Source organism: Homo sapiens, chromosome 9 (assembly GCF_000001405.40).
Source record: "Homo sapiens chromosome 9, GRCh38.p14 Primary Assembly".
Taxonomy (NCBI): Eukaryota; Metazoa; Chordata; class Mammalia; order Primates; family Hominidae; genus Homo; species Homo sapiens.
In genome coordinates, this window is record NC_000009.12 from 122,855,634 (window position 1) to 122,870,211 (window position 14,578).

At 42.8% G+C, this 14,578-nt stretch overlaps 1 protein-coding gene across 5 annotated transcripts in view; it reads right to left on the reverse strand.

The window, feature by feature from the left end:
- Positions 1 to 14,578, reverse strand: part of RC3H2 (ring finger and CCCH-type domains 2) — a 60,804-nt gene that overhangs the window by 11,078 nt on the left and 35,148 nt on the right. For 4 of the 5 annotated variants that reach the window (NM_001354482.2, NM_001354478.2, NM_001100588.3 and 1 more), the window contains exons 10-14: positions 9,716 to 10,024; positions 4,284 to 4,498; positions 3,036 to 3,469; positions 2,290 to 2,460; positions 99 to 245 (exon numbers count right to left, since the gene is read on the reverse strand). In NM_001354482.2, the coding sequence (NP_001341411.1) occupies positions 99 to 245; positions 2,290 to 2,460; positions 3,036 to 3,469; positions 4,284 to 4,498; positions 9,716 to 10,024 (1,276 nt within the window). The remainder of the gene's footprint in view (positions 1 to 98; positions 246 to 2,289; positions 2,461 to 3,035; positions 3,470 to 4,283; positions 4,499 to 9,715; positions 10,025 to 14,578) is intronic. The other variant, NM_001354479.2, reaches the window with a different exon arrangement.

Genomic DNA, 14,578 nt, shown 5'->3' on the forward strand with positions numbered 1-14,578 from the left:
ACAATATGAATGAATGAATAGAAAACATTCATTCTACAACATGAGTGAACATGCATCATCTCTCACCTCCAACCCCTGCAACCCCAGCAAAATCATACCATTAACACAGCATTTGAATTAGCAATGACATCTTTGGGCTCTGAATCAATGGCATTTATACAGGAGCCTATGGTGCCACAAGACCAGGGAGAATAATGGGAAAGATGATCTTCTTCAAATTTTGTACCACTCACACTCTCTGAGAACTGGTTAAAAAAAAATAAATAAAGCCAATTAGTAAGAAGCTTAAATTTACAAGCTTGTAACTAATATAAAGTAACTATTATAGAATTCAGAGGACTTCATAGCAAACAATTATACTTTTTCAATAACTAATATAAAAAACTGTAATAAGCAAGAAATGGTATTTTTACAATAGAAAATGGCATGCTTTCCCTTTTCACTTTGTCCTTTAAGTGCTCATATGGAACATTTGACTAATACTATCAAAACCAATTAACAAATATTTATAGTATGGTACTAACATGGTATGGGGTGCACCAAGAAAAAAAAAAGTAAGAGAAAACAAATACATAGATACACACAGAGATCACAGTCCATATCCTAAAGGAGTTTATAATTTTCTTTTTTCTTTTGAGACAGGGTCTCACTCCCACCGCCCAGGCTAACATGCAGTGGGGTGATCACAGCTCACTAGCAGCCTCGACTTCCCAGGCTCAGGTGATTTTCCCAGCTCTGCTTCCCAAGTAGCTGGGACTATAGGCACACGCCACTATGCCCAGACAATCTTTTTGTATTTTTAGTAGAGATGAAGTTTTGCCATATTGCCTAGGCTGGTATCAAACTCCTGGGCTCAAGCAATCCACCCACTTCGATCTTCCAAAGTGCTGGGATTATAGGCATGAGCCACTACACCAAGCTGAGTTTATAATTTTCTTGAGAAAAAGAACATGTGCAAATAAGGGAATATAACTGATAAATTATGCAGTATCAAAGAACAAAAGGAATTCAAAGGAGGCTCTGGAGATAAAGGGGAAATGAATAAATTTTAAAGGGACTGTGAATAAGGAATACTTATAGGACCAGAATACTAAAGTTATAAGAATCATTAAATCTAGTTTACTAATTATTCAGATAAAAAAACTCAAGGGCAAAAAAGTTAAAAAACTTTTCTCAAGTCGAACTCAGCAGATCGGAGTCTCAGGGAAATACTCATTTCCTGAAGCATAATTGTATATCAAAAAAGAAAATACAAGTGGCATCTAGCAAGCAAGTGGCATCTAGCAAGCAAGTGGCAGCTCTGTCACTCTGTTGTCAAGATATTTACCTGCTTTGAAGAAGTCTAAGTTTGACAAGACCTATTTGGATCTAGTTTAAAAATTCAATGCTTTATTGAAATATTTATGGGTTAAAAAATATAATGCCTAGGATTACTTCAAAACAATCCAGGGGGAAGAGGGGGTATAAATAAGACAGTACTGACTGAGTTGATAACCGTGGAACCTGGGTGTTGGGTACATGGAGTTTATCATATTATTCTCTCTATACTTGTATATGTTTGAAATTTTTTATAATGAAAAGATTTTAAAAATTTTAATATCAGAACTTCTGGGGATGGGGAATAAACCAGAAGAAACTTAAAAAAGAAATTAATGGTTTTCTCCAAATATAACAGTACTGAAAACACCAGATTAAATTAAAATCATCCTGGTACACAAACTTGTTTGGTAATGCCAAGAACAATAATTAGCAGTGATGTAAAGAGCATAAATAATACTGTAGGTATTTCTGCACTTCTTGTTAAGTAGGGAAGAAATACCTCAGACAGCCCAGGATTCATATCCCAGCTATTTACAGCTGAAAGATCTTGGGCAAATTACTTAACTTCTGTAAGATTCCTACCCTGTAAAATATGGAAAATACCTGCCCCCTAAGGTTTTTGTGAGAATTAAATAAAATAGCTTTATGCAAATGTACTAATACAGTGCTGGCATGAGTAGGTGCTCAATAAATGATAGATATAAATCACACTATTAATAAAACAACCATAAAATAATTATACTATAGGAAAGATTTTGAATTCTTAGTAAAGGACTATGCCTTAACGGTCTTCAGAGTCTCATAACACCTAGCCGTAGTGCATTTATATTCAGTGTTTATTGAACTAAACTCAATTGCACACCAAACCACTGCAAATATCCAACATAGCTATTCCTGGTTTGAATGAGTAATTTGAAGTCAGCTGTTTGACCTATCCCTGCAACATTAAGTAATTAAAACCTTTCTTACATCCGCACGAAAGTCTACACTGAACAGAGGAGAAGGTGGTGTTGGTGACTGTGTTGCCACAGGAAGAGTTGAAGAGACAAGAGGTGCTTTCTGAGTGTGGTACTGTGCCCACTGATCTGGCTTTCTTCTTATCTGCTCCTCGCAACTGGTCTTCAAATGACCACAAGGTTCCTAATGGGGGATAAAAGAAACAATCTTAATCATCTAGGGAGTGGTGAATAAATTTAACTGTGTGAAAATGATGTAAACAGTTTATGATATTGTTGGGATAAAAAAATACAGCAGGGAAAGTCACCCTAGTCTATTCTCCATACACTTAAAATAAAAAGGTTAATATTTATTCAACTGATGTTAAACGCAGAATCTGAGCACTCACTTTTCTTGCTTAGGGAAGTCATTTGTATGTATGTGGTGATACTGAAAAAAGGTCCTAACCTTGTATTTTTAAGATTTCTTTCTACTTTCCCAACAATTTCCTATCCAAATATAACATTTATTGAGCATTAACATGTATGAGGCCCAGTTCTAAGAGGTTTGATTTTCTGATTTAATTCTCACAACAGCCTTATGAGGTAGGTACTACTATTATTTCCATCAAAGGAATGAAAGAACTGAGGCATAGGGAGGTCAAGTAACTTCCTTAAGTCACACAATTAGTAAGTGGAGGAGCCAGGATATATACCTGGGTGGTTTGACTCCAGACACTGGGCTGTTAATGACTACATTATAGTAGCATCTTCACTTACCCTTGGTAAAGGCACAGTTGTCCTTGGCTCACTTGGTGGCTGACAAGCCACCGAATAATATCCATCTAATGAGTTATATCTTTCCCGCAAAGATGTCTGATAGACAGATGAGTGCATCACATCCATTGGAGGTAAAGAATTGCTTCTAATAATGTCATCTCGTTGGTACATAGGTGGGCGCCAGATGCGCCTGCTGTCGTACACAGGAGCATACATTCCAGAAGGTACTGGAGGAACTGGTCCATACGGCTGCGGAGGAGGAGGCTGGTAAGGAGAAGAATTCATTCGATCTCGAGGGGAAAATGTACTGTAATGATCGGCATATGGCATGGAAGCAGGTGGGAGGGAGGACTCTGGAACGTTATTGGACCTCACAAAGCGAGGAACACAGGGAGCCACACCAGCTGGTACCGTTGGAGGTGGTGGATAGTATCCTTGAAAATTGGAAAGAGGAATATTTAATGTAATCTTAGTACAATCCAACATTTTATAATGGCTTAAATCTAAGGCAGCCCTTAATGTAGGAAAATATAATAAGCTTTGAACCTTACCTTACCCTGCTTTATAAAGCTTTATACCCTGGCTTTTTTTTTTTTTTTTTTTTTTGGTAGAGACAGGGTCTTGCTATGATGCCCAGGCTGGTCGCAAACTCCTGGGCTCAAGTGATTCTCCTGGGCCTCCCAAAGTGCTGGGATTACAAGTGTGAGCTACCACACCTGACCACAAACTACATATTTTCAAGACACCACTATATGAAAATCATTAACATTCAACACTTTGCTAAAGTGCTCCTTAAAACACACAACAGAGCTATTAACAGACGGATGGTAAATATCCTTCTAGGGCATCTATTGCCACTGGTTTTGGATTAGTCAGTTATATCATTGATTTTTATTAACTTTTTTGGGAGCAGACGTTAAAGACCTCTTTCAAAATCTATGTAAGTTGTTCACTCTCTTTCCAAAATTGAACATAAGCATACATAAATAAAACATTTTTTTACATCATTTCAGGGGACTTACAGAAAACCCCTAAAGTTCATTCCTGACCCTATTATATTTGATTTGTAGGAATGACAACCTTAAAGCTGTATTTAGAAGCACAGATCCTTGGGGAAGGAAAAAAACTTATGAGTCACATAGTCAAAAGGATTAATTTTTTTAAATGTAGACATTCTAGAACTATTCATTCATTTATCTAAAGGAAACAATGTTTCTTTTTTTCTTAGAATTGTCTAAAATTACTCACCTGTCTGTGGGTACTGTGGGACTTCAAAGGGTATCTGAGTCCTTGGATCTTGAAAATACTGAATGTTTTCAGAATGCGGAGGATATACTGGTACTCTAGTTAGAAATGGGCTGGATTTTTGAGGCACAGAATTCAGCTCTGTTCCAACATTAGAGGGCCCAGCTGAGGTAGCTGCTACATTACTTACAGGAGTCTTGGGTGGAGAACCAATTTTACTGGAGAGAAAATTTAACAAAGGGCAAAGGAGAAATCACTGTCTATGACTGTCCTCCTTACTAGAAATTTTTAATAAAATTATATTCTGAAACCACTAATAGAAAACACTTCAGACATTGCCACATTGACAAATAAGGCAATGAATTTCACTGCCACCTTACACAGCTAATTCACGTGATCATCGTAACAGATGTCATATTCCTGTGTGGGCCACAGGGAATAAAAACGATTCCCAGATATTAACGTGATTCATTAGTCACCATTTACCCATTCTTTTTTTTTTTTTTTTTTTTGAGACAGGGTGTCACTCTGTCACCCGGGCTGGAGTGCACTGACATAATCACAATAACAGCTCACTGCAGCCTTGACCTCCTGGGCTTAAGCAATCCTCCCACCTCAGCCTCCCAAGCAGATGGGACTACAAGTGCATGCCACCACACTCGGCTAATTTTTAGTTTTTTTGTAGAGACGGGGTCTAGATTTGTTGCTCAGGAGGGTCTCAAATTCTTAGGCTCAGGCAATTCTCCCACCTTAGCCTCACAAAGTGCTGGCATTACAGGCATCAGCCACCGTGCCTGGCCATTACTCATTCTTTAAACAAACATTTTTCCCTACTGAAGGTTAAAAAAAAAAAAGAAAATTCTGTTCGACAAGTTCTCAACCGAAAAAATATAGTCCATTAGTGGAACTATTTGAGACAAAGAAAACAGACATGGTAAGAAAAGAGTTGTTTTCTATGAGGAGTTAGATTAGCTGAAATATGAACTCCTTGAGGAAAGGCCACTTTTGTTTATTTTGATAATTCCTATATCCCCAGCACCTAAAACAGCTCCTGGAACAGAGTAGGCACTTGGTAAATATTTGTCAGACAAATAAAACAGTTCCTGGCATGCAGTAGGTACTCAGTAAATACTTGCTGGGTGAATGAAATGGTAACTCATTAAATTGAGGCAAAACACACCAACCTTTTATTATTATTATTTTTAACACAAAAGAATTTTCTTGGTTGAGTCACTAAGTAATCAGCTGGAAAGGATCTTATGGCTTTCTTAACTCCTTTTAAGAAGTCAAATTTCGGCCGGGCACGGTGGCTCACACCTGTAATCCTAGCACTTTGGGAGGCCGAGGCAGGCAGATCAACTGAGGTTGGGAGTTCGCGACCAGCCTGACCAACATGGAGATACCCCGTCTCTACTAAAAATACAAAATTAGCCGGGTGTGGTGGTCCATGCCTGTAATCCCAGCTACTTGGGAGGCTGAGGCAGGAGAATCGCTTGAACCCAGGAGGCGGAGGTTGTGGTGAGCCGAGATCACGCCATTGCACTCCAGCCCAGGCAACAAGAGCGAAACTCCGTCTCAAAAAAAAAAAAAAAAAAAGAAAAGAAAAAAAACCATATATATATGGCCAAAGCTTAGTCAGCTGGATTTGTAGCTATATTTATTTTGCTGATTGTATTTGCTTGTTTTAGTCAAATTTTGACAAAGCTTTAGATATGTGATGAGTGAAGAAAATGATCTTGTTAATTATGCAGGAACTCAATACATTGCATCTCAACCAGATTAGAGGGTTTTTTCCTCAAATTAGAACAATCATTTTAAAGGTAGGATATAAAGAAAAAGGTATATGGGCTGCCTTTAAGTTTATCACAGATTAGTCTAGCAGATGTTTACTTCTATGTGTAACTGTATATTAAAATGTAAAAAATAACTAAGGAACTGTGGGTAATAAAAGTAGGTACAAACGTAAGGGTTTAGAGTATAAAGATATTTTAGGACTGTGCTTATTCTTTACATAAAGTAAAATAGAGACAACAAGGAAAATGATTAGGATTTCCTTAAAACAATAACTAATATTTATCAAGTGGTTATTTGAGTCTATTCCAGGCACTGTGCTTTACATAAATTATCTGGTCCCTCCATGTCAAAATGTTATATACCTAAAATTTGGATTAGTACTTTGAAATGGTAAACTCATAGACTTATCAACAAAAAGGCAACAAGATCCATGATAAGGTCAACATTTATTGCCTCATGAAATCATGCAAGCTATCTCAAAAATTGGAACTTATAGAAAAAGCTAATCTTCAAGGCAACAAGATCCATGATAAGGTCAACATTTATCACCTCATGAAATCATGCAAGCTATCTCAAAAATTGGAACTTATAGAAAAAGCTAATCTTCAGTCACATCCTAGTGAGCATGAGATCACTATCCTAGATGACTTTCAGGATTCTAGGCTCTCCTCCATGGCAGCTTCTCTCACACCTTATTCATTTTGCCTGTGCTGCCTTCTCCATCCACAAGGCCCTTCCTTCCTTGCTATCCATACTTTTGGAAATAGCTCAGGTATCATCACTTCACCTCTAAGAAGCCATCCACAATACCTCTCATAGAATTATTCTTTTTCCTGTGTTCCAATAACAACTGGAACAACTGTGTTCCAATAAAAATTTAGATTTATTTTTTAAAAGTCTTTACCAGCTGGGCACAGTGGCTCACACCTGTAATCCCAGCCTTTTGGGAGGCCAAGGCGGGCAGATCACTTGCGGTCAGGAGTTCTAGACCAGTCTGGCCAACATGGCGAAACCCCGTCTCTACTAAAAATACAAAAATTAGCCGGGCATGGTGGCAGGTGCCTGTAATCCCAGCTACTTAGGAGGCTGAGGCAGGAGAATTGCTTGAACCTGGCAGGTGGAGGTTGCAGTGAGCCGAAATCGCACCATTGCACTCCACCTGGGTGACAGAGAGACTCCATCTCAAAAAAAAAAAAAAAAAAAAAGTTTTTACCCTAGTCTATTTTGTTAAAAAATTGAGATACAGTTCATTATTTTAGGGTGTACAATTCAGTAATTTTTAGTATATTCACAAGGCTGTCCAATTATCACCACTAATTCTGAAACATTTTCATCATCCCCAAGAGAAACCTGTACCCATTAGCATTCATTCCCCATTCCTGTCCCAGCCCTAAACCCCTAGAAACCATTAATCTACTTCCTGTCTCTATGAATTTGCCTATTCTGGACATTTAACATAAATGTGACCTTTTGTATCTGGCTTCTTTCATTTAGCACAATGTTTAAAGGTTCATCCATATTGTAGCACATAATAGTACTTCATTCCTTTTTTATGGCTGAATTTTCCATTGTATGGATATAAAACAGTTTTACAAAATTTTCTTGCCAAAAATCTTCAAAAGCTTATTTCCTAAACATGTATACATAAGGTCTCCATAATCTGGCACCAACCTATCTAACCTTATTTTATACCAGTCCCTAATATAAGCCTTCAGATCTAAAAGACTGGTCTCCTCAATATTCCATATAATTACAGATAGATTTAATCCATGTTATGTTGTTTTTTTTCTGTAATTTCCCATATTTCTCCCAGCAATATAAAATTTTCCTGTCCTTTAATCCAACTTCAGTACTGTTTCATATGTGTAAATGCTGTCTCCACAACTATATCATAAATCCCTTAAAAGCAAAGTATCTTGTATTCATGTGCCAAAAACAGCTACAAGATTGAGTGCATAAATAACATTTGTTAACTAGACCATGTTCTCAAATATATCTTTTCTAAAATCTTGCCCAGGGAAGATTGTAAAAGTCCTTTTTTTTTTTGAGATGGAGTCTCACTCTTGTTGCCCAGGCTGGCGTACAACGGTGCGATCTTGGCTCACTGCAACCTCCACCTCCCAGGTTCAAGCGATTCTCCTGCCTCAGCCTTCCCAGGTAGCTGGGATTACAGGCATGCGCCACCATGCCTGGCTAATTTTGTATTTTTAGTAGAGACGGGGTTTCTCCATGTTGGTCAGGCTGGTCTTGAACGCCCAACCTCAGGTGATCTGCCCACCTCGGCCTCCCAAAGTGTTGGGATTACAGGCCTGAGCCACCGTGCCCAGCCTGTAAAAGTCCTTTAATAAACAATCTCCCCCATCATGTGCTGACTGCAGAAGTAGCAAATGTTACTGCTTATCTATCCATCATTGATTGCTATGTGCCTAGCACAATGCTTTTTTCCTAGCAGGCATATAACAGATACTGATAGACTATTTATAGGCAACAAAATCTGAACATCAACATATTGATGAATATTAAAATATTCATCAATCTAAATCTTACTCAAGATTTTAGAGTTGGAAACAACTTTTCAGATAATCTGAAAATTTAAAAACCTTTTTCTAAAGGCACCAAAACCCTCTGACAAAGGAAATCTTATGCTGACACTCAGTAACAATTAATGGTGATAATAATAATAAAGCAAATATTTACTGAGTGCTTACTATCTGGTAGGCATTGTTCAAGGCATACTGGAGTATTAATTCACTTAATCCTCGCAACCAACATATGAAGTTGACACCATTATAATTCTAGTTTTATGAAGGAGTAAACTAAGGTAGACAGATTAAGTAACTGGCCTAAGATCAAACAGCTGGGAAACCATGAGCCAGAACTTGAAAGCCCAGAGAGTGTGGCTCCAAAGAGTCCCCTCCTTTTTTTTTTTTTGAGACAGTGTCTCACTCTGTTGCCCAGGCTGGATTGCAGTAGCACGATCTGGGTTCACTGCAAGCTCCGCCTCCTGGGTTCATGCCATTCTCCTACCTCAGCCTCCTGAGTAGCTGGGACTACATATGCCCGCCACCATGCCCGGCTAATTTTTTTTTTGTATTTTTAGTAGAGATGGGGTTTCACCATGTCAGCCAGGATGGTCTCGATCTCCAGACCTCATGATCTGCATGCCTCAGCCTCCAAAAGTGCTGGGATTACAGGTGTGAACCACTGCACCCGGCCAAGTGCTACACCTCATTACAGAGTATAAAGTGAAAGCGCTCTGACTGAAACAGAGCTAGAGGCTCAGCATTTTACCTGCTTAGGTTTCTATTTAGTTCTTTTCTGGCACCTCTATGGAATCAACACTACAGTTCAAGAAAATAAGGTGTGAAAAAAAAACAATTCTGGTCCAGTCTCTTTGGGAGAGTTGAGGAAAACAAAACTCAGAGTTAAAGTCACTTTCCCACTTTCCAAGTTCACAGGGCTATTCAGTTGCAGAACCAAACTAGAACTCAAATTTTTTAGTATTTAGTGTTTCTTCTACATCACAAAATATTCTGCATAAAAATTCTGATTAACCGGTATTCATCAGCAGAAATAAAAACACTCAGGCATTTCTAAAAAGGAAAAAGAATTTCCAGTAATCATTTTTACCTAATACCTACTTTTCAGTTACAGAATCTGCAGAGGGCCCAGCAGCATTCTGACCATTAGCGCCAACCTTTCCCACTTTCTTCACGGTCTCCAGAGCTCTTAAGGTACTGTCAGTACTACGTGAGATTAGCTGGGAAACACTGTTTTCTGCATTTGAAATTCCGTTTGTACTTGGAACAATTTTCCCTGTTGTTTCAGTACTTCCTATGACAGAAATGACATTTCCGGCTGTGGTTGTGACAGTGTTGTTTACACCAACTTTATTTAGAAGAGGAAACGTTCTTACAGTGGCATTGATCTTTTTGTTCCTTAATCGATACCTGTTTCAAAAACAATCAACAGATTGGTGAATATTTCACTAAATCTTACTCAAGACAAAAAATGGCAATGGGCAATGGGAATAGATTGAAAAAGGAGGAAACAGTTTTGACAAAAAGTTTCTTCAGCTAAATAATCAAATACAGTCTATATCAAATTCTACTGCAACAGATGCCACATGAAAATATATATGCCATTCACATATAATATACATGTAATTAATATAGCAAGCCGAGTTTATATGTATTTTTTTTTCCCCTCATGCCACTTTGTCCAAGAATGTATTCAAAAAAACCTTTTGAGGGAGTGGAAAGAGACCATTTGAAAATTTTGTATAACTAGAATATAAGGGATGTTATGTAAAAATGACAGGAACTGGCAACAAATTTGGTTGAGAACACAGAGTAAAGAGAAAAGGTATGCAAGAGCTGAAGCCATTTTCTGTTGTTACCAAACTGTAAAAGGATTATATAATTTAAAAAAATAATTTAAAAAACTCATTCTTAAACAAACATTACACAAAAATAGAAATTCTGTATTATAGTTCTCAGAATAGTTTATACCTAAAGTTAAAAACATTTGTATGAAAGATTTTTCTGATACTAAGTTTTGAGTTTTATTTATGGTGATCATTGGATATAATACTCTAATACACAAAAGGACTGGCAATTTGATTTTGGATTCCATTTAAGAAAATGTCTCCCTCTCCCCCTCCCCCTCCCCCCTCCCTCTCCCCACGGTCTCCCTCTCCCCACGGTCTCCCTCTCCCTCTCTTTCCACGGTCTCCCTCTGATGCCGAGCCGAAGCTGGACTGTACTGCTGCCATCTCGGCTCACTGCAACCTCCCTGCCTGATTCTCCTGCCTCAGCCTGCGGAGTGCCTGCGATTGCAGGCGCGCGCCGCCACGCCTGACTGGTTTTCTTATTTTTTTGGTGAAGACGGGGTTTCACTGTGTTGGCTGGGCTGGTCTCCAGCTCCTAGCCGCGAGTGATCCGCCAGCCTCGGCCTCCGGAGGTGCCGGGATTGCAGACGATGTCTGGTTCACTCAGTGCTCAGTGGTGCCCAGGCTGGAGTGCAGTGGTGTGATCTCAGCTCGCTACAACCTCCACCTCCCAGCCACCTGCCTTGGCCTCCCAAAGTGCTGAGATTGCAGCCTATGCCCGGCCGCCACCCCGTCTGGGAAGTGAGGAGCGTCTCTGCCTGGCCGCCTATCGTCTGGGACGTGAGGAGCCCCTCTGCCTGGCTGCCCAGTCTGGAAAGTGAGAAGCGTCTGCCCGGCCGCCATCCCATCTAGGAAGTGAGGAGCGTCTCTGCCCGGCCACCCATTGTCTGAGATGTGGGGAGCGCCTTTGCCCCACCGCCCCGTCTGGGATGTGAGGAGCGCCTCTGCCTGGCCGCGACCCCGTCTGGGAGGTGAGGAGCGTCTCTGCCCAGCCGCCCCGTCTGAGAAGGGAGGAGACCCTCCGCCCGGCAACCGCCCCGTCTGAGAAGTGAGGAGCCCCTCCGCCCGGCAGCCGGCCCATCTGAGAAGTGAGGAGCGTCTCCGCCCGGCAGCCACCCCGTCCGGGAGGGAGGTGGGGGGATCAGCCCCCCGCCCGGCCAGCCGCCCCGTCCGGGAGGGAGGTGGGGGGGTCAGCCCCCCGCCCGGCCAGCCGCCCCGTCCGGGAGGTGAGGGGCGCCTCTGCCCAGCCACCCCTACTGGGAAGTGAGGAGACCCTCTGCCCAGCCAGCCGCTCCGTCCGGGAGGGAGGTTGGGGGGTCAGCACCCCGCCCGGCCAGCCACCCCGTCCAGGAGGGAGGTGGGGGGGTCAGCCCCCCGCCCGGCCAGCCGCCCTGTCGGGGATGTGAGGGGCGCCTCTGCCCGGCCGCCTATCGTCTGGGACGTGAGGAGCCCCTCTGCCTGGCTGCCCAGTCTGGAAAGTGAGAAGCGTCTGCCCGGCCGCCATCCCATCTAGGAAGTGAGGAGCGTCTCTGCCCGGCCACCCATTGTCTGAGATGTGGGGAGCGCCTTTGCCCCACCGCCCCGTCTGGGATGTGAGGAGCGCCTCTGCCTGGCCGCGACCCCGTCTGGGAGGTGAGGAGCGTCTCTGCCCAGCCGCCCCGTCTGAGAAGGGAGGAGACCCTCCGCCCGGCAACCGCCCCGTCTGAGAAGTGAGGAGCCCCTCCGCCCGGCAGCCGGCCCATCTGAGAAGTGAGGAGCGTCTCCGCCCGGCAGCCACCCCGTCCGGGAGGGAGGTGGGGGGGTCAGCCCCCCGCCCAGCCAGCCGCCCCGTCCGGGAGGGAGGTGGGGGGGTCAGCCCCCCGCCCGGCCAGCCGCCCCGTCCGGGAGGTGAGGGGCGCCTCTGCCCAGCCACCCCTACTGGGAAGTGAGAAGCCCCTCTGCCCAGCCAGCCGCTCCGTCCGGGAGGGAGGTTGGGGGGTCAGCACCCCGCCCGGCCAGCCACCCCGTCCAGGAGGGAGGTGGGGGTGTCAGCCCCCCGCCCGGCCAGCCGCCCTGTCGGGGATGTGAGGGGCGCCTCTGCCCGGCCGCCCCTACTGGGAAGTGAGGAGCCCCTCTGCCCGGCCACCACCCCGTCTGGGAGGTGTACCCAACAGCTCATTGAGAACGGGCCATGATGACAATTGCGGTTTTGTGGAATAGAAAGGGGGCAAAGGTGGGGAAAAGATTGAGAAATCGGATGGTTGCCGTGTCTGTGTGGAAAGAAGTAGACATGGGAGACTTTTCATTTTGTTCTGTACTAAGAAAAATTCTTCTGCCTTGGGATCCTGTTGATCTGTGACCTTACCCCCAACCCTGTGCTCTCTGAAACATGTGCTGTGTCCACTCAGGGTTAAATGGATTAAGGGCGGTGCAAGATGTGCTTTGTTAAACAGATGCTTGAAGGCAGCATGCTCGTTAAGAGTCATCACCACTCCCTAATCTCAAGTACCCAGGGACACAAACGCTGCGGAAGGCCGCAGGGTCCTCTGCCTAGGAAAACCAGAGACCTCTGTTCACTTGTTTATCTGCTGACCTTCCCTCCACTATTGTCCTATGACCCTGCCAAATCCCCCTCTGTGAGAAACACCCAAGAATGATCAATAAAAAATAAATAAATAAATAAATAAATAAAAAGAAAATGTGTTTCTATGTATACACCAAAATTTCATTATAATATAATCCTTAACAATATTCCCTCCTATATGTGTGTGTGTGTGTGTGTGTGTGTGTGTGTGTGTGTGTGTGTGTGTGTGTATGTGTTTTTTTTTTTTTTTTTTGTGGGGGGGTTAAGTTCCACTCTTGTCGCCCAGGTTACAGTGCAATGGCGCGATCTCGGCTCACTGCAACCTCCGCCTCCTGGGTTCAAGTGATTCTTCTGCCTCAGCCTCCCAAGTAGCTGGGATTACAGGCACGTGCCTGCCACCACGCCTGGTTAACTTTTGTATTTTTAGTAGAGATGGGGTTTTGCCATGTTGGCCAGGCTGGTCTCAAAATCCTGACCTCAGGTGATCTGCCCACTTCGGCCTCCCAAAGTGCTGGGATTACGGGTGTGAGCCACCATGCCTGGCCCCTACAACATTTTTAAAGCGGTGAAAAATTAAGTTCACGAACAGAAAGAAGACTATACATATTTGGTGTCATAATTATATATGCCTAAAGTAATGTTATTAATGTTATATATAAACATATGGTAATTAAATATAAAGTGTTAGTAGTAAGCAATGCCTTCACAATAGTTTCCCTTTTAGTCCTCTGGTATCTATAAACAACTTCATTATTCAGTCCTTCTCTTCTCCTTCTCTTTAACATGTACACATTGGCAGAGGAAGGTGATGCTCAATAAAAGACAAGTGCTCCTAGATTAGACTGGCTAAAAGTGAAGTAACAGAATATTAAAAAAACAGGTGATGGCCAGTTTACACGATTTTTTTTTTTTTTTTTTTTTGAGGCGGAGTTTTGCTCGTCACCCAGGCTGGAGTGCAATAGTGTGATCTCAGCTCACTGCAACCTCTGCTTCCCGGGTTCAAGCAATTCTCCTGCCTCAGCCTCTGGAGTACAGGTGCACATTATAGGCGCGCGCCTGCCAACACACCTGGCTAATTTTTGTATTTTTAGTAGAGATGGGGTTTCATCATGTTGGCCAAGCTGTTCTCAAACTCCTGACCTCAAGTGATCCGCCTGCCTTGGCCTCCCAAAGTGCTGGGATTATAGGCATAAGCCACTGTGCCTGGCCAACATCATCTTATAGATAAGAGGAAAACCAATAATTACTTCTTTCAAGAAGGGCATGAGCAGACCTATATTTCAGGAAGACAATCTGGTTGTCTGGAGGGGCCCAAAGATCCCTATGCCTTCCTCCACATTCTCTCTGAAACCTACTCTCATTATTCTTTTCCTCAGAGTTCCTATACAGAATATCGTGTCTCCTTGCTTTCCATCCTCAAAAAATAAAACTTGGCCGGGCATGGTGGCTCACACCTGTAATCCCAGCACCTTGGGAGGCTGAGGCGAGTGGATTACCTGAGGTCAGGAGTTCAAGACCAGCCTGGCCAACATGGTGAAACCCCGTCTCTAT